Consider the following 20,528-nt stretch of genomic DNA (forward strand, 5'->3'; position numbering starts at 1 on the left):
GTGGACTTATGAGAAAAGCCAGCTGGGGCTCCAGGAGCATCACGGAGCAAAGAGAGGTATTACTATCTGTGGGGTAAAGGGAAAGACGTCAAAAACCTGATTGGGGCACCACTCAGGGAGAAAAAGGAGAGAAATCTGTACCTACTTTACAGATGTGTCTGGGGATATTGTCTACATGAAATTAATTACCGCTCCCAGCTCAGCCTTTACAGCTCCATGACCTTACCAGTAGTTACAAGGGTATTAATATACTTGTAGCTACTTACCTGCATACTTGCTTTCGCATCTAACGCAGCTCTGATGTAGCAGGTATTTGTGGTGTCAAGAGAACAATAAGAACATGACTAAGATTCAGTCAGAATCACCAGTTTACTTAATTGGTCCTCATTTGACATTATAGGTTCCCATATTGAGGCCAGTCCATACATCTTTATACAAAAATTTGAGCTTAAAATTTAGCCTTTTAAGAAACATAGAATTCATTTTAATCTGGAAATTTTTATTTTAGGAACTCCTAGACCAAATGGGAAATAATTATAGCACAGTAATACAATCTTTGATTGTTTTTGTGTGTTATTAAAATGAGCTGCATAATAAACATACATAAGGCAGTTGTATTGTAATTGAATATAAAATGGTTTGCATGACTAACATGAAATTTTTTTCTAAATATTCTTAATATTGTTTTATTTTTGGTTTATAAATGTCATTAGTATCAAGTGACAGCAAATATATGGGTTAATCTGGCCTGGGAATTCACAAGAAATAAAGTGCAACTAGTAATTCAAGTTATTTTCTCTACACAGTGGTAATGTTCATTAAATTACAAATAACTATTATGGAGTAGTGAGGGGGTTTGCAATGGAATTTAAAAGAGCTGTTGCACTCATGAGTATAATTTTATCCCTTGCAAATTATGGCATGTCTGTTTATAGTAATAAGGTATTATAGAGATCACTGAGTCATAGGTAGTTCACATGGGAAGATGCTATAGTTTTCTAACCTTTTCCCAGTTGATGTTACCATTGGAAGCCAGAGTTATAACATATCAGTGACAACACAGGGCCATGCTCCCCCTCTTACCCCCATGACTCCCTAAATCCATGTAACTGAGTCCGATTGCCAGATATGCAGTTCTCATGTAGAATGAGTGCCCCATGGTTTCAGACCCTCCACTCGTATCTCTTTGGTTATGCAACACCTCCTCAAACAAGCAATAGCATCAGAAAACCAGCTTGCTTTCCTTCGAGTGAGGTGTTGGTTTTGTCTGTGCTTGAGCTTTTCAGGCCTCATTTTCACTATAGGACCAGTGAATAACTCTGGATGGCAGATAAATCATAGGGTGGAGAGAAAGGAGTAGAAGGCTTCAATGATGATACCCTGTTTCCGTCAATGACAGGTAAGATTTTCAAACTGAAGCTGGTGAAAGACTTGAGTAAGTTTATTTGCAAGTCAAGCCTGTTTGAGGTATTCTGTTACTGGAATATCCCCAGGCTTCATTGGTCTGTGGTTACAAATAAAGCTGGAATATTAATAACATTCCAGTCTTGATGGCTTACTAACTCCAACTGCGACAGAAGCTATCAGGCCCCTTCAAAATTCCCTCTCCCAAGACTTTTCAGTTGTCCCTGGAGTATGTCCCATATGAGCTCTCCTGCAGGGCACTGCCGCTTTCTCACCAGGTCTCCACTGAGTACTTCTGTCTCTGCTGACAACCACTGATGTGTGTCTGTTGTCACAAGTAGTATCAGTTTCCTATTGCTACCATAACGAATTATCACAAAGTTTATGGTTTAAAATAATAGAAAATCATTATCTTATATTTCTGGAGGTCAGAAGTGTAAAATGGGTCTTATGGGGCTAAAATCAATATGTTGGCGGAGCTGCGTTCCTTCTAGGGGATTAAGGGGAGAATCTACTTCCTTGCCTTTTACAGCTTCTAGAGGTTGCCTGCATTTCTCGGCTCCTGGACCCATCTTCCATTTTCAAAGTGCATCACTCCAAGCTCTGCTTCCATTTCCCCATGGCCACATCTTTTTCTGACTCTTAACACTTCATCCTCCTTCTTACAAGGATTCTTATAATTAAACTGGACCCTCTTGGAAAATCTTGGGTAATCTCCCTACCTCAAGATCCTGAGCTATTAGTAAATCATACCTGCCAGGTCCCCTTACCCTGTAAGGCAATATATTCACAGGTTCTGGGAATTAGGATGTGGAAATCTTTGGGGGCCATTATTCGGCCCACGACAGAAGCTACCTGCCCATACATGGATGCTGCCATTTATCTCCACCAATGCCCTAGAATTCTTACAATACAGGAGTGGTGCTGGGTGCCAAAAACAAAAAAGAGGGTGGGGAGAAACAGGCATCACCCCGCTCTATGCATACCTCAGAAGCACATGCTTCAAAGTCCCCGTGAGAAAAGTTGTTCAGCTTCTACTTATGTTCCTGTCAATGAAGAGCTCTGATGAAGTTCATAGGCCTAGGCTGGGGCCATTCATCATGTGCTCTTCTCCATCCACTATACTTTATTCCTGCAAGTGAACAGTCCCGCATACAACCTCCTCCTGGTAGACCTTCTAATGTGGAGAATCAACACATGTATGTAGAGCTTGGGCATAGTCAACTCCTCAGTACCAACATGCCTAAATCTTAGCTCAGGCCTGCGTTCTCTTGATATAATTCATTAATTTGAGAATTCACTAATCCATCTTAATTCATTCCTGAAAAAACTCACCACTAAATGAAAAGCCATTATATTAAAAATAAATGTTCTCATTAAATTTAATGAGAAAAATTACGATACATCCCATCTCAACCAGCCTCCTCCTAAGATATTGAAAGCATGCAATACTTGCACCTTCCTCTATGACATTCATATTAATAAATTCACATACAGTTCATTCACAATATGTGTTAAGATGGACCTGTAGTGGGGCTAGAAGTTGGATGGATGAAGAAAGAACTGCAAAGAAAGAGTGGATAACATTATAAATATAATGTTTAAAACTACTGAAAACAAGCACAGTTAACTCCAGCTTAAAAACATCTTCTGTTCATATAAATAATTGATATAATATTATGCACATTAGTGGCATAATCACTTTGGTAGATTCTCTGCTACCTCTGATAGAAGAATTTAATTAGCATAATTCTAATCAGAATGTAATATATAATGAAATCTGAACCATAAGGTAAAATATCACTTTTTATATTTATTTAATGGGGTTTGGGGTGAAAACCAGCTATATCAAGATAAAAAAGAATTGTTGGAAAAATGATAAAACTTTTAAAAGGACGATATTTACTTTTGCTACATGAAGAAAGCCTATATTTATTAGACACTTATTTATGCCAAGCTCAGGAATTTTAAGATAAAGGAAACAATCCCCATAATGAGGAGATTCGCTGGTTAATGGGAGAGGAAGTATTAAAACTGCACAGAAACAAACCAAACCATTAATATGGTTATCAGGGAATGAATTGCTGAGCAATTTATATTTTTTTCATTCAAAATATTGATTTTAAAATATCATACAGCGAACCTGCGTAACTTCTATAAGTAGAAACACCTGTAATTTATCTTTACATTTTCTACTTAGTGTAAGTTAACAACAAGCTACAATTAAGCCACTGAGTGCATCCAACACTCATCTCAAATTAAAACTATCTCTTATACCTCAGAATTGGCACTGTATAATTATAAGCCACATATCTAACTTAAAGCTGCTCTGTCATATCTCCTCCAGCACAGGCCTGACTCTCCAAATCTTTAGGCTTTCTTGAAGGGGATATGATTCTAGTTGGCTCATGGGTTCTGATAAACTCCTTAGTAATCCTAAGGGACTTACGGAATGTTTGAATTGGAAAGGGCCTTGGAGCTTAAAAGTAACTTATAATTACAACTGGGAAAATAGAGGCCTGGATCAGTGAGTGATATGAGCTTGGCAGTAATGTGAATTATTGGCACCGTGACTCTGGGCAGAAATTACTCATGTGCTTCTCTTAAATAAGGTGCCAGCTTGGGCTTCATGGGACCTACAACAAGAGATCCTAAGATGCCTAGCACCAGTCAACCTGGATCAGAATTAATTAACAGCAAAAATCCAGTGACTTCTTCCTGTACTTTCCGTATCTCTCAAACTCTGCTGCCAAGACCAGTTCCAGCAGATTGGAGAATATAATATAACCCGTGGCACTACCCTCAAATTTGGCTCCTGTTCTGGCTTTCTGGGCAGGCCAGCCACCTTTAGAAGTGACCACATCTTTCTGATGTCTCATCAGTCGGCAGTCTGATACTTGGTTGCTCAGTTCATATTTTCTCAGCACAGATCACTTTGGTCTGTGACTTAAAAGGTGGGCTCTGGCATATTATTCTGCATCTCTCTACAGCCTGGACTTGCTTCTGGGCCTAGTCTCTCCTGGCTAGACAAAGATATTAGTGAAACAAACAAAAGCATTGCCCTTGAGCTGCCTTTTTCTCCTCAGCTTTGCTTCTACACTTCACCAAGTTGTTGAATCTCTCCCTGTCCCCGGTAACATTAGACGTTGGGGTTGGAGTACTCTTTTTTCCATTGCGTGCAAAACTTCCAACTTTCTCCTTCGAAGTTAAGGGTGATAAGTAGGGCACTCCAAAACATAATCTTAGAAGATATGTGGCTTATAATTATACAGTGCCAATTCTGAGGTATAAGAGATAGTTTTAATTTGAGATGTGTGTCGGATGCGCTCAGTGGCTTAACTGTAGCTTGTTGTTAACTTACACTAAGTAGAAAATGTAAAAATAAATTACAGGTGTTTCTACTTATAGAAGTTATGCAGGTTCACTGTATGATGTTTTAAAATCAATATATTGAAAGAAAAAACATAAATTGCTCAGCAATTCATTCCCTGATAACCATATTAATGGTTTGGTTTGTTTCTGTGCAGTTTAAATACTTCGTCTCCCACTAAGCAGCGAACCTCCTCATACATCCCATAGCTTAATCACTCAGGGATAAGTTTAAAGCTGAAAGAAACCTGCGTTAAAATTCCAGATCCCCCCAGTTGCTTGCTGTGTAGCTTTGTGACTTTGGCCAAAATTTAGTTTCTCCATCTGCAAAACAAAGATTATAATAGCACCAACTTATGGAGCACAGTCATTGAAATGATGCAGGTAAAACCCTTAGATTAGGTCCTGACATGTAGTAAGAACTCAACAGGCAGTAGCCCTGAGTATTCTTTTCTTCACTAGCTCCCCAAATGCCACACTGGGACTCTCATTTATGGGATCCGTGTGCTGATATTCAATGTGCATATTTAGTTTGTACCAAATTATATTGTAACTGATAATTAGATGTTGACATTCGTGGTATCATATCAGCACCATTTTCTGGTTTTAAGATCTGTTTTAATATTTTTGCTATTTGTGGTTATTTTTCTTAATTTTGTTGAGCTTCAAAGAGGGCAGTGATTTTTAAATAGGCATTCTCTTCATCATCTTTCCCAGAAGTACTGCCAAATTATTTTTCTATTTCTAATACACTATTCTGAACCTTTTCTCTTAACATGAGTGCCAAATTTGCTTTGAATAAAACATGATACTAAAAACTACATAATACTAAAAAACTAGGTGTAAAGAAAAAAATGTAGAGTTTGTCACCTTATTTTATTTAAGATAGATGACCAAAATGAGTTTTTAATTTTCTTTTTCCTTTTTAAATCTTGGAAATCCCACATAGGTCAAATCCCATGATTCAAACATTTTTTTTTTCTTGGCTTCCTGGCTGTAATGCAATGATTTGATTTCTGCTTAGCTGATATTTCTTTTATCAATTCTCGCATTGCTTCTCATGTGACAAAATAAAACTCTGATTTTTTTTCCCTTTTTTGCAGAACAGGAAATAACCACTTGGCCCTGTTTCTGGTGGTTTTGCATGTACCAGAATGTCCTAGAGAAATATAACCCATTACAAACCTCATAATGTCAGGGGAAGATGGATGGCCTTGAATACTTCGAACAATGTAAATTGAGCAGCATATAGAATATGTTACATTTTGAGCTAAGCTCTATTTTCTGGAAAAAAAGAAAATATGGCTAAAATATTTCATAGTGCAAATCAGCCTTGATTCCTTCAAAATCATTCAAAGAATTGTATGTGCTGATAAGAACAAGTTCTTTGCTTTTTAATGATGGTGTATATGAGTAATTCAGAGCCTTATTTCAAGATTACTGGTCAATCTATGCCTTTTACTGACATTAACCTTCCTGTAAAATGAGACCATTTAAGTTCACCTTTCAATTGACTGGCTGACATTATAAGTCACCTATTCTGAGATTTAATCAAGTATAAACTGAAAGTCTTCTCTAGGTCACGTTACCTAGTCTAGTAAAATTTGTTTGAAACAAGGCCCTTAATGCTGATCATTGAGCTCACACTGCCCTGGGTTCATGATTTCCTTAACTCCTTGCTTTCTGAAATCTTTATTTGCTTCACTTTTCTTTGTTTCCGTTTTTCCCCATCACCCTGTGCAGGAAAGGTGAGAGCTAACTCTATTGAGTGTGTTTGTTGCCATGGTGAAGAAAACAGTACGATTCCACAGTTAATAAAGAGTATCAGGGTGAAGAAGATATTTCTTCCAAGCTCCCATGATTTTCATTTCATTACAGTGGAACTAAAGAGCACTGACAGGCCTGTTGAAGCAAAATCTTATGTTAGATGTAGTTCATAATGTCATGCTATTCACTCAGAATATAGTACTTTCCTGGAGAAATTATTTAAAATGCTTGCAATGAAGAAATGTTTTAAAAGGGACTTCATGTGGTCATTTACTTCCTAACTAAAAAGGAATTGGTATTCTACAGATTTCCACTTTGAGAACTGGACAGTAACAGAGTAATATTGTTGCAAAATCCCTTATTAATTCATGCTTCAAAAAACGATTTGTGGCTTTTCTAAAGGAAAATGTCTTCATTTAGCTGTCCCATCTAAACTTGGGTGTGGAAAGCATGAAGAACCTATCTTTCACAAGTACAAAGGGTAATGCATTTTTAGTAATGTATGTGGTTCAGAACAGAAAATCTTTTCTCTTATCCCTTCTCTCTCATCTCTTTCCATCCCTTCTACTTGCTCCTCCTACTCACCCCAACCTCTCTTCACATGCACTTACAGATTCACAAGAGCCAAGTGTGTGAGGAATTTTTTACCAGAAGAGAGAGAAGAAAGTAGCTAAGGTCTAACAGTGTAGCTGAAAGTCTTTCCCCCATGAATTTTTTATTTGTTAGGTAATTCAAAACACCACAGCTGAACTTGTGTAAGAGGTCACGTCAACTTCACAATCTTTCATTAAAATGGAAGCAAATAGAAAGCTTTCTTAATTGCATTTTTTCTACTTATCTAAGTCTAATTTACTATGATGAAATACACTTTGGTGAGCATTCCATTGTTTCAATGAAGAAAGAAAATAAAGAAAAATAATTTTTAAAAACGTAGATCGAAGAAAAGTAAGAATATTTGAAAATAGCAAATTTCCAACTTTTAACTCCATTGTTAGGTTGCCAGATCCTTTATGAACACTGAGATTGTTAGAACTGCAAATAAAGTAGAATACAATGTTGAAGTGGCTTATGTTGAAGTCTGCTGATAGACAACACAAAGGTATGTTATGTAAGAAATTTTCTTTCTCAATATAGTTCAAATAGTAGAAAAAAGTGGAAAAAGAAAGATGAATGCATTCAAGGCTTTCTTTAGAGGAAAGAAAGTTAGCTTTAAAAATAGTAGACATTTTGTCAAGAAGTTATGTTAGAATAGGTGCTATTGAGATGGATATGTGGGAAAGTGGAAGAAGTGGTAATTGTGGAGTACCCATGCTGTGCTATGCACCTTATACAATTTATCTTGTATAATCTTCGTTTATTGTCATCCTGAGAAGGTGGGTAGCAATGTGCACATTTTCACAAATAAAGGGAGAAAAGAAATCTTTTTCTCAAGCTCCTGGAATAAAACACTTGAAGTCAGGTCCATAGAATGTCATACCTTGTTGTCTGCCCCCTGCTGATAAGGGAAGCAAAGGTTTCCAGTATTTTGGAAAAAGGGGCATTCGAAGAGAAATTATAGAGAGAGCAAATTCATAAATATTGCCTGGTTAATTCCATTTTATTATCATTTCTTATGAAACAAAATAGATGTTTCGATGGTCACATTACCAGGGAATTTTATTTTTTCAGCTGGACATTGCAAGTCCTTGTGTAATCATCCTCCAAATCTCACAACATCCCTTCCATTTAATTATAATCTATTGACTGTATTGTTCCGTTTTACAGACAATGACAATATTTATTTGCATCCATTAAAAAATGTAAATCTGAGCGTTTTTAAAGATCACATCAAACTTGAGAGAAAGACTACTTCAAGAGAGAGAAGAAATAGAAGACATGGACACTGCCTCTTAAGAACATAAAATCTAAACGTTGAGGCAGGTCAAACTAAGAAATATAAATGCATTTGAGACTCATATAGTGAAGCACAACACAAATGTAGACTGATAGGAATTTCTTTGCAGATAAGGCCCGAAGATCCAGACTGATGATAAGCCTAAAGCTGGTGGAGGACAATCACTACTGGATTCTACCACAGAAGGCTGCAAACACGGCTGAGGATTTTTACTAAAGTTACAAAAGTAGGGGCTTTTAGTAAATTTTGTTTCATAGGCAGTGTATTATCCAATTAGAAGTAAGCTAATATTGGCTGGGCTGTAATCCCAGCACTTTGGGAGGACGAGGCAGGCGGATCACGAGGTCAGGAGATCGAGACCATCCTGGCTAACATGGTGAAACCCCGTCTCTATTAAAAATACAAAAAAATTTAGCCAGGCTTGGTGGTGGGCGCCTGTAGTCCCAGCTACTCGGGAGGCTGAGGAAGGAGAATGGCGTGAACCCGGGAGGCGGAGCTTGGAGTGAGCGGAGATCACGCCACTGCACTCTAGCCTGGGCGACAGAGAGAGACTCCGTCTCAAAAAAAAAAAACAAAAAACAAAAAACAAAAAAGAAGTAAGCTAATATTTTTGTTTTTTTTTTTTTTTGAAGCTGTTAGATTCTGGGTAGAAATCGCACTCTACAATAAATAGAAGCAATAGCTTATCATAGATTTAATATCTACCTTCTATAATAGAACTTTTTTACAATAATTGATACTCTCATTTATTCTCTTAATAAAATATATTTATTGCATGTCTCCTGTTTACTAGGCATTGAGTAGGGAACAAAGCATGCTGTTTTTATATTTTAATATTGAACATTATAGATCGTAAGAGTCTAAAACAAGGCAACAGAGTTTTCGAAAGTGATTTTCAAAGCACTAATTCTGCAAGATGCTCCCCATCCCTAAAGGGTGCCACAGCCAAATCCATTTGGTAAACATTGCAATGACTGAGAAAGCCTATGGGAAAGAAGTCCCTCCAGCTTTGTCAAACCCAAAACACTTTTTTTTTTTAAACCAAGGAACATTGATTAATATCCTGTTGCATGAAACATCCTAGGTGAGATGTCAGCTCAGAGCAGGCCTATTTTGGAGTGCTAATTCAGCAGGTCACAGATGTGAGAACAAGTAGGCAGATGCCATATTCTGGAAGAACTAGCAGAAGAGCAGAAAAATCTTTTTTGTTTTTTCATTTTTTTGAGACAGGGTTTTGCTCTGCTGCCCCAGGCTGGAGTGCAGTGATGTGATCTTGGCTCACTGCAGCCTCTGCCTCCTGGGATCAAGTAATTCTCCTGCCTCAGCCTCCCAAGTAGCTGGGACTACAAGAATGCACCACCATGCATTCTTTTAAGTATGTTGCCACTCTGCCACTAAGAGATCAAGCACATAGTTATTTGGAGTAAAATCAACTATGGTGGAGGACGTTGCTACATAGGCTCTAAAGTCATAGAAACTCCTTCCTTCCTTCCCTCCCTCCCTCCCTCCCTCCCTCCCTCCCTTCCTTCCTTCCCTCCCTCCCTCCCTCCCTTCCTTCCTTCCTTCCTTCCTTCCCTCCCTCCTTCCTTCTTTCCTTTTTTTTCTTCCTTCCCTTCCTCCCTCCCCCAGGAAAGATACATACCTATAGGGAGCTATAATCTAGTTACTCATAATTAATTCTTTCCAACAAGGTATATGAATAGTAAACTTTTTCAGGTTTCCCATATCTAAAAATGTCTTATTTTACTTTCACAATTTTAGGATAATTAGGCTGAGGATAGAATTCTAGATGCAAAGTAATGTTCCATCAAAGCATTGAATATATTGTTACATTCCCTTCTAGCATCTGGTGTTGGTAATGAGAAATCTGAAATTCTGATTTGTTTTTTTTTCTTTTGTTTGTTAATAATTTCTCTCTCTGAAAACTTTTAGAATTTTTCTGGGCATTTATCTCCCTGTAGTTTTATCTATTTTACAGCTGGATTTTGTTTATTTTAGTGTACTCTCTTTCACCTTGATCAATCTTGCCAGAGTTTTGTGTTATTTAGTATCCTAAAAAAAAAAAAAGCTTAGACTATCCTAAAAGCTAATAAACATGTAAAAAGATACTCAACATCATTCAGAGTCATAGAATGCAAATTCATTTAAAATGAGGCATTATTATGCAGCTGTTAGACTGACAAAAATCTGAGTAATGCCAAGTGTTGACAAGAATGAGGAAAAACTGGTAACCTCAAGCACTGCTGATGGTAGCGTAGGCTGGGGTGGCCCTTCGGGAGAGCAATTTCACATTTGGCACTAAGTGTACAGACTCAGCTTATATCTATCCATCATATAACAATTCTACCTCTGGGTATATCCCCCTCCCCACCAGCACAACACTTTTATGGACAGATGGACAGATGAGAGAGAGAGAGAGACAGAGAGAGAGAAAGAGAGAGAGAGAGAAAGGGAGAGAGAGAGAGAGAGAAAGGGAGAGAGAGAGAGAGAATAAGACCACAGGGATTATATGAGGATTTTCATTGCATTGATATTTGTGGAGGAGGAGATTAACTTGAGGACATAGATTGACAAGATGTGGTGAACCCACATCCCACACTCACAGGGATATATATATAAACAACAAAAAATACATTAAACAGAACAGAATTGTTGCCATGGTTGTTAGGGTAAAGAGGTCTGGGAGTGAACAAAGGAGAAAGCATGAAATCAAACAAACAACGAAAGGTTTCATTTTTGTTAATCCTTTCCTCTCTGTTCATTTCCCCACCTCTCTCTCATCTATCTATCTGTCTGTCTATCTACCTACCTATCTATCTAAGACAAAAAGATCTCCCTCTCCTCTCCTTTCTGTCTTCTAACCCTACCCCTCTCTCTCTCTTTTTGTTTCTCTCTCTCAGATCATTATCGTTCTGGGGAATCCACCTGCCATGGTGAGTAGCACTACAAGAGAGGCCCATGCAGCAAAGAATTGAAACCTCTAAACAATAGCCATGTAAGTAAGTTTGGAAATGGATTCTTAGCCTAACCTTAGGATAACTGTGGCCCCAGGCAATAGCTGGACTGGAATCTTATAGAGATTTTGCACCAAAACCGCTTAGCTCATCTGCTACCAGATTCCAGGCCCACAGAAGCCCTGAGATTAAAAAAATGTTTGAAGATTTAGGCTACGAAGTTTTGGATAATTTGTTACAAAGCAGTATATAAGTAATACACCTAGGAAATCAACTCTTAGGTACATATCCCAGGAACACTTGAACAGGTGCCTAAGCATGTTCCCTGAAGCACTATTTATGGTACAAATAGATGGAGACAAATAGATTTTCATCACTATCAGAATAAAATAAGTAAAATATGAAAAATTCAAATAACATAATAAAACCGTGCCCCAAAGAGTTAAAGAAAATAGTAACTAATAGAAATCCTTGAGTTTGCAGGATAGTAGATCAGAAAGCAAACAACTTGTTGAAACGTTGAGACACTATCTGCTTGTAAGATAACAAAACTGGCTACACTCAGTTAGAACCAATATGGCCAACTGGAGTTTATGCAGAATGAGCTTGCAGACATCACATGTTTTATATGAACTCACCCTGAATTTGCACATGAGACCCATGAAGAAGCAGGAAAAAGTAACTGCACCCAGAAGGAACCTCCAGGCCTCCTCTTTCCTTCCACAAATTACCTACTAATTCTCGGACTCCACCCTCTAAATCTTTTCTAATACAATTACTGCCTTAAAATCAGCAGGGGGAGACAAATTCGAGCTAGTCTCCTGTCAGAATTCTTGGTCGACTTGCAATAAAAAGCTTCTCTTTGCTCAAGAACCTGGTGTGATAATATTGGCTTTTAGTGCATTTGGGCAGCAAGCATCATTTGCTTGGTAACAGTAATACTGTAATCAAACACTAGATGAAATGAACTAGATTAGACAGATAGATCTTCAAAACACAATAAATTGTGTAAAAAAAGTTACATAAATAATCATTTCTAGATAAAACAGAGAAAACTGACATTTAATTTAAAAAACAATCAATCAGTTTATTATTTATTTTATAAGTAATCACAGATATACAAATACAAATATATTTCCTGATTATGAAAGAGAAGAACAGGAAAAAAATATGTAAGACTAAAATTGAGAAATGAATATGGGATACACAAAGACCTTTGATAATGCCTTCCCATGAACTGAGGAGTATCTAAACTCTCTTCTGTGTAACTGAGGTCCAATAATACTTTAACATAGTATATGAAGATGTGAACCAATGTTACAGGCTCATTTAACATAAATTCAAAAAATTCTAAACAAAAAATGAGCTGGGTATTAGAATAATAACTGCATCATAGTAAAGAATTGTTTATTCTAAGATGCAAATCAATATTAGAAAATATGCTATTTTAATATATTAACAGAGTAAAGAAAAATATAAGGTAACTAAATTTGAGGCATTTGATAAAAGTAAATACTTTAATATTTATCTATCTTTCAATCAATCAGTCTATCTAATAAAGTCTCATATATGGGGCCAGGTGTGGTGGCTCACACCTGTAATCCCAGCACTTTGGGAGGCCGAGGCGGGTGGATCTCCTGAGTTCAGGAGTGCAAGACCATCCCGGGCAACATGGTGAAACCCCGTCTCTACTAAAACACAAAAAATTAGCTGGGTGTGGTGGTGCATGCCTGTAGTCCCAGCTACTAGGGAGGCTGAGGCACGAGAATTGCTTGAGTTGAGGTTGTAGTGAGCCGAGATCATGCCACTGCACTCCAGCTTGGGCTGCAGAGTGAGATTCCATCTCAAAAACAAAAACAAACAAACAAAAAAGAATAGGATGATGTTTCATAATGGAATTTCATAGATTACACTGAAAGAAAAAAGAAAATGTGTGAGGAAGAAAATAGGCATAAGGATAGCCCAAGAAGTTTTAAAGAACAATTATAGTAAAGTTATCTTCCCTTAGGAGATATCTAGCATGCTATCAACTACAGTAGTAAAAATAGTATAGTTGTAGTGTAGAAATAGGCAAATAAAACAAAGATATAGAATAGAGAGTATACTGTGATGGGTGCACCCAAATCTCAGAAATCACCACTAAAAAACTTATTCATGTAACCAAACACCACGTATTCCCTAAAAACATATTGAAAAAATAAATAAATAAAATGTATAACTATTCTTTTAAAAAAGAAGTAGACCCATATGTAGATAAACTTTTGATTTATAATAAAGGCAATTTTAAATTGGTAGAAAAAAAGATAGCCTACAAATTGTTCAAGTTATTTTGAACAATTAGCTATCTACTTGGAAAAAATAATGTAATCTTCAGACCTTACATCATGCACTACAATGGATTCTAGATTATTTTAATAATAGTTAATTATAATCAAAATTATAAAAAGCATTTGTGAAAAAAATGTTTATAACTTTTATGTGGTAAAAGCCTTCCTGTAAGAGATATGAAGCCCAGAAGCTATAAAGGAAAAATAATTGATTTATTTTTATCTTCAGTTTTAAACTTAGTGTTCAAAAGTATAGACTTTGCAGCCAGAGTGCCCATTGTTTAGATTCTGGTTCCTCAACTTGGTTATATGGCTTTGGGTAAGTTTGTGATTGCTCCACGTCTTGGACTTTTACCTGTACACACCTCAGATTTTTACCTATAAACTAGAGATGGTAATAGTACCTTTCTCACAGGACCAGTGTAAGCCGTACATGAGTTAATATGTAAAGTACCTTGGAAAGTACCTGACTCATAGTAAATATTATATATATCTATATATATATATATACATATATATATATATATATATGTTTGCTACTATTAAAAAGATAAGTTGAGAAAAAGTTATTTACAATATATAGAATCCACATCCAGAATGTATGACAAACTCTAACAAGTCATTAAAAAAATCCCAATAGAAAAATACGTAAAAGATATGAACACACAATTTACAGAAGAAAAGATTATATGACCATACATACTTACACTAAAAATAAAAGAAATGCAATTTAAAAGCTTTCAAGATGACAGTAAAAAAGATTTATGTTATCGAGTGTTGCCAAAGATATGAAGAAATGTTAGCAGGACTATAACTTGCTGTATTATTTTGAAAGGCAACCTGGAAGTATCTGTAAAATATAAATGGCCTTTCATTATTTATAACAATTCTACTTTTAGGAATGTATTTAATATAAACAAACATTCTCACATGTACAAATATGTGTATATAAAGGTTTTTTTCAATATTATTTACAACAGAGAAAGAATTATAAATGACCTAAGTGTCCATCCCCACAGAGGGGATTCAATAAAGTATCTTTCACTCATTCAATAAAGACAATGCAACTCTTAGAATAAGATAGTCCTATACACATACTTCAAGTTCTATTTAAAAAGTAAAAATCATGTTATGAATTATTACACTCTGATTTAAAAATAAATTTAATGTTAATGTTTACCTATATTATGTAAATGCATAGAAAGTTAACTGGGTGTCTATCTTCCCAAATGTAATACTACTAATAGCTAGAAATCAGAAGGAGTGTGGAGAGGGCTGTTAAATGTAGATAAGGACGTGGGAATTAAAGATTTTTTTAGAAGGGAAACAGGATAAGTCTTGGAGGCTTTGTTCATTTCTTTTTACTATTCACAATAGCAAAGACTTGGAACCAACTCAAATGTCCATCAATGATAGACTGGATTAAGAAAATGTGGCACATATACACCATGGAATACTATGCAGCCATAAAAAAGGATGAGTTCATGTCCTTTGTAGGGACATGGATGAAGCTGGAAACCATCATTCTCAGCAAACTATCACAAGAACAAAAAACCAAACACCACATGTTTTCACTTACAGGTGGGAACTGAACAATGAGAACACTTGGACACAGGAAGGGGAACATCACACACTGGGGCCTGTTGTGGGGTGGGGGGGAGGAAGGAGGGAAAGCATTAGGAGATATACCTAATGTAAATGAGTTAATGGGTGCAGCACACCAACATGGCACATGTATACATATGTAACAAACCTGCACGTTCTGCACATGTACCCTAGAACTTAAAGTATAATTAAAAAAAAAAAAAGCAGCAGCATATGATGGGGGAAAAAAAAGAAGTGAAACAGGATAGAGAAAGCACACATAACAAGACATAGCTTCTTTTCTCAGTAAGAATATAATATAGAATGGGTGATAAAACAAATTATTAAAATGTATTTATTCAAAAAATCTATCTACACCCAGAGCTATACCTATCAATATAGAATTACCATGAAGATCAAATGAGAGAATACATATAAAGGGCTTACCTAGCACCCTCTATAAATATTTACAAAATATATATATATATATATAATATACACACACACACGCACACACACACGCACACACACACACACGTACATATACGTATATAAATTTTATTGTAAAGGCCGGGTGCGGTGGCTCATGCCTGTAATCCCAGCACTTTGGGAGGCCAAGGCGGGCGGATCACGAGGTCAGGAGATCCAGACCATCCTTACTAACATGGTGAAACCTCATCTCTACTAAAAAATATACAAAAAATTAGCTGGGCGTGGTAGCGGGCGCCTGTGGTCCCAGCTACTCGGGAGGCTGAGGCACGAGAATGGCATGAACCTGGGAGGGGGAGCTTGCAGTGAGCCGAGATCGCCCCACTGCACTCCAGCCTGGGTGACAGAGCGAGACTCTGTCTCCAAAAAAAAAAAAAAAAAAATTGTAAAGAATGAAAGAAATGATGCTACTGGCAAAGAGATGACTTTTTTCTCCTGTGCATCAGTACAGTTCCCTAGAACTCACCGTCTGATATCCTCCTTGCTCATATGCTTATTTCTATACAATCTGTTTCTGTCCACTACAATGAAGCTCAACAACTGCTGGGAGTTATTTTGTTACATACTGTTTCCTCACTGCTTGGAATAAGGCTTGGCACACAGTAAGAACTCAGAAAAGGTTTCCTTGAATCGTAATTCCTTTCTGCCAGTACTTATACTGATTAATGTATTTTTTGCTATGGCGAATGCTTGAGTGATAATACTTCCCCAGAAAACATTTCAAAACAGGAATTTGAGTTCTATGCTTTCACTAATATCTTAACTTGCTGAAAACATTTGACCAAATTCAACAGTTATCAAAAGCAAGCTTCATAAGCTGTTTTGCCAAAACAACAAAGAAATGAATATTTTGAATGGATGTAGACTTGCGCATTCTGTGAAATATCTATCCAAATGGGAATGAGTAAAATGAAATGGTGTTGATTCTCAGAATCCCAGAGCAGCATCTGGGCTTGCCAAGTGCAGGCAGGCATCATTGAAGAAAAGATGCTTGCCTTCGACTTTCTAATATAAACTATCTAGAGTGACCAGAGGAAATATGAAAATACCAATTGGCAATGTTTGTTTAAATTGATGCCAGAGGGTTTTTCTTTTATCTTCTCTTGGAAAGAATTCTGTTGTCAAAGTAGGCTTTGTGCAGGGAAAAACAAATGTGTGTTAAGCAAAAGGCTTCTACAGTTTAATTTCCTCTTGCAAAAAGTATGAAAATCTACTGTAGGTTGAATTTTAGACAACATTGTTGGTGGCTTGTGTGTCATCAGATCTTTGGGATCAATGGCTGCAGATTGCAAAATCTTGGAATTTGTAATTACAAAGACAAGACAGTTGAAGATAGCTTGATGTGAATACCTGCCATTTACCCCTTATTCTTTGTTTTTTTTTTTTTTTGTTAGCTTTCTTTTTTTTATTTTTTATTATTATACTTTAAGTTTTAGGGTACATGTGCACAATGTGCAGGTTAGTTACATATGTATACCTGTGTTCTTTGGTCACGTTTATTTTTTACTTATTCATTGGTAAGAACGCTTTATATACCTGAATATTAATTCTTTACTATTCATCTTCTAAATACTTTTTAGAAAACTTATTTTCTGCTTTAAAAATTATGTATGGTATGTTTATTTTCTATATAGAATGTTTCCATTTTTATGCAGTAATTTTTTATGTTGTTCTAGTTTCTGGCTTAATTTTCATGTTGAGAAAGAGCATTCCAAACCCAAAATAATTAAAGTGATTTTCTGTATTCTCTTCTATTGATTTTATGGCTTTGTTACTAAAATTAAATATTTAATAAATCTATAATTTGGTGTCCAGTGAGAAGTATTGATCTTTTTTTAAATGGTTTTACATTTTTCAATATTTCTATTAAAGAACAAAATTTATATTACACCTTTTTCATTTACTAAATTGACATGTACACTTGAGTCTTTTTATTTTTATTTTATTACTATTTTTTTGAGATGGAGTTTCACTCTTGTCACCCAGGCTGGAGTACGGTGGCGTGGATCTTGGCTCACTGCAACGTCCACCTCCCAGGTTCAAGCGATTCTCCTGCCTCAGCCTCCCAAGTAGCTAGAATTACAGGCGCGGGCCACCACACCCAGCTAATTTTTTTGTATTTTTCGTAAGGATGGGGTTTTGCCATGTTGGCCAGGCTGATCTCGACCTCCTGACCTCAGGTGACCTGCCCGCCTCGTCCTCCCAAAGTGCTGGAATTACAGGCCTGAGCCACCATGCCTGGCCCTTGAGTCTTTTTATGAACTGTTAGTCCATTTCTCGATCTTTTTGTCAAGCATATTATTTTAATATCTACTAGGGAAAATCTTTTATTTCCAGAATTTTTCTAGCTGTTTTACGTTTATTCTTCTAAATGGGTTTTTTTTAAAAAATCACTTTTTAAACATAATTATATGACTACATTCTTATTGTAAACATTTAAAACGATATATAGAATGACATACGATAATCTCCTCTTCTTACTTCCCTATTCTACTTTTCTTCCCAGAAGTAATAATGGCTAATACTCTTCAGTGTATGTTTCTAGAACATTTTCTATTCATTTACTTAAACGTATATGCATATGTACATTTTAACATAAATGGAGCCACACAATAATTATTGCTTTGGGCTTTTTAAATTTTGTATTTCTCTTAGATCTATGTCAGTATATGGCATTTTTCCTCATTTCTTTATCAAGATACACATACACGTATATTTATGAAGATACACATGCACATATATTTGTTGACCCCCAAGTGATATGCATACACACACACACACACACACACACACACACACATTTTGCCATAACACACAAGGCTCTTCATAATGGAATCACCATTGGAATCATAATGAAATCACGTTGTGTGAGTATCTTTTTTTTCTGCATTTCTTTTAGATTCTTTCTTAGAAGTGGAATTGTTAAGAATGGGATATGAGCATTTGATAAACTACTAAATTGCCTTCCAAAAAGCCTTTGAACATTTACTTTTCTGTAAAAAATACACAGGAATCCCTATTTTTCCACTTGTGTACCAGTTTTTAAAAATCATTTACTAATGTATGACTTCCATTTTGAATTTTTATAGGGGAGAATCAATAGATTAGTTGCTTCAGAAGCTGTTATGACGTACAAAAGCAACTAATGTAAAACATAAAATAATAGAATTCCTGTACTCCAAATTACTAGGGGTGAGGTATACCTTAGCAAACACAGATAATGTAACAAAAATAGAGTATAAAGAAACATAAGAAGTATAAAGTATAAAGAGTATAAAGAAATAGTGCCATAAGAAGAAAAAGCAAAAAACAGTAACATAGAAATAACACCAAATACTTTCCTCATCTTAGTAAGTGTGAATGGGACACCTACCTAATAAGAAAGGAAAATAAAGCACATCAAAACAAACAAACAAAAACCAATACACACATTTAGTGATGCAGAAAGGTTAAAGAAATCACAAAGCTATATCTGACAAAAATAAAATTGAATTCAAGGTGAAAAGTATTAAGTAACATTCAAAGATCTTTTTCTTGCAATAAGCACTACATGTTACACAATGTATAAAACTCTATCATCAACCTTTTGCAAAAAACAAATATAGAAATGAAATATATAAAGTAAAATACATTGGCAATCCAAATGTATAATAGTAATGGGAGACTTTAACACCTTTTTCTGAGTTCTTCACAGATTAAAGTATATAAAAACATCAAAATTAATTTAGAGGTGATCCAAAAATATCAGTGAGATTATATATATGTAATATATATATATTACATTATATATATATAAAATATAATTATATACATATAAAATATATAATATGTAATATATTAGTGTATATTATATGTAATTATATAACATATAATGAGATTATATGTATCTATGTAGATAAATCATATTTATTATTTGTAAAGCAGATATTGTTGGTTGTACATCCACCCAGTAATAATTCACTCTTCTTTCTGATTAACATAATGCCAATGTGGGCATCATTGCTAACAGCAGTGTATGAACTATGATGGGTCTAAGTTGATGATAACAATCTGATTTTTACTTGTTAGTAACTGTTGGGTGTGTGAGATCAAAGGGAAAACACTTTTGGGCCTTCTAGAACATATTTTTATCCCTGACATGAGACTTGTGAGAACACTTCTTTTTCCCTTCTTGCTTTTGGACGTTTTTGTGACATAAAATGACATTGGGAATTGCTGCAATCCAATTGTCTTGGGTCCATGGGGGCAGACACTACCAATACAGGAGGTGGATAGAGCATAAGGAGAGACCGTGTCCTGGATGGTGTCATCAACTTTCACAATAAACTCTGAAAATCTCTACTCCTGAACTTCTTAGGTGAGGTAATAATTTATTATTGTTTAAGCTACATTCAATACACAAACAGAGGTCAACTTTTCAGACCACAAACCAGTATATGTGGAAATAAAGAAAAGAGGGGAGAAAACAACCATTTGAAATTTAAAAAACTTTCTCATAGTGAATTACTGATTCAGAGATATTTAATCTGCTGTTGGAATGTGTCTAGTAAATAACAATGGTAAAAATATTCCATATCAAAACCTGTGAGATGAGGTTAAAGGTTACATAGAAGAAACAGGAAATGATAAAAATAACATGAAATGTTCAAGAAGTTTGAAAAGAAACACAAGGTAAGCCTAAAGACAGCAGAATAGAATCAATGACTGTAAATTGGATAAAAGAAAATAAATTGATAAAAT

General features: G+C 35.7%; 2 long non-coding RNA genes across 2 annotated transcripts in view; one reads left to right on the forward strand and one right to left on the reverse strand.

Annotated features, from left to right (window-relative positions):
• The window catches only part of LINC02006 (long intergenic non-protein coding RNA 2006), a 378,977-nt gene that overhangs the window by 48,390 nt on the left and 310,059 nt on the right, over positions 1 to 20,528 (reverse strand). The gene's annotated exons all lie outside the window — the stretch shown is intronic.
• LINC02083 (long intergenic non-protein coding RNA 2083) lies at positions 1,313 to 11,404 on the forward strand. The gene is made up of 3 exons (XR_001740977.2): positions 1,313 to 1,399; positions 8,544 to 8,660; positions 11,335 to 11,404. It is a non-coding gene; the product is annotated as a long intergenic non-protein coding RNA 2083 (long non-coding RNA).

Source organism: Homo sapiens, chromosome 3 (genome assembly GCF_000001405.40).
Source record: "Homo sapiens chromosome 3, GRCh38.p14 Primary Assembly".
Classification (NCBI taxonomy): domain Eukaryota; kingdom Metazoa; phylum Chordata; class Mammalia; order Primates; family Hominidae; genus Homo; species Homo sapiens.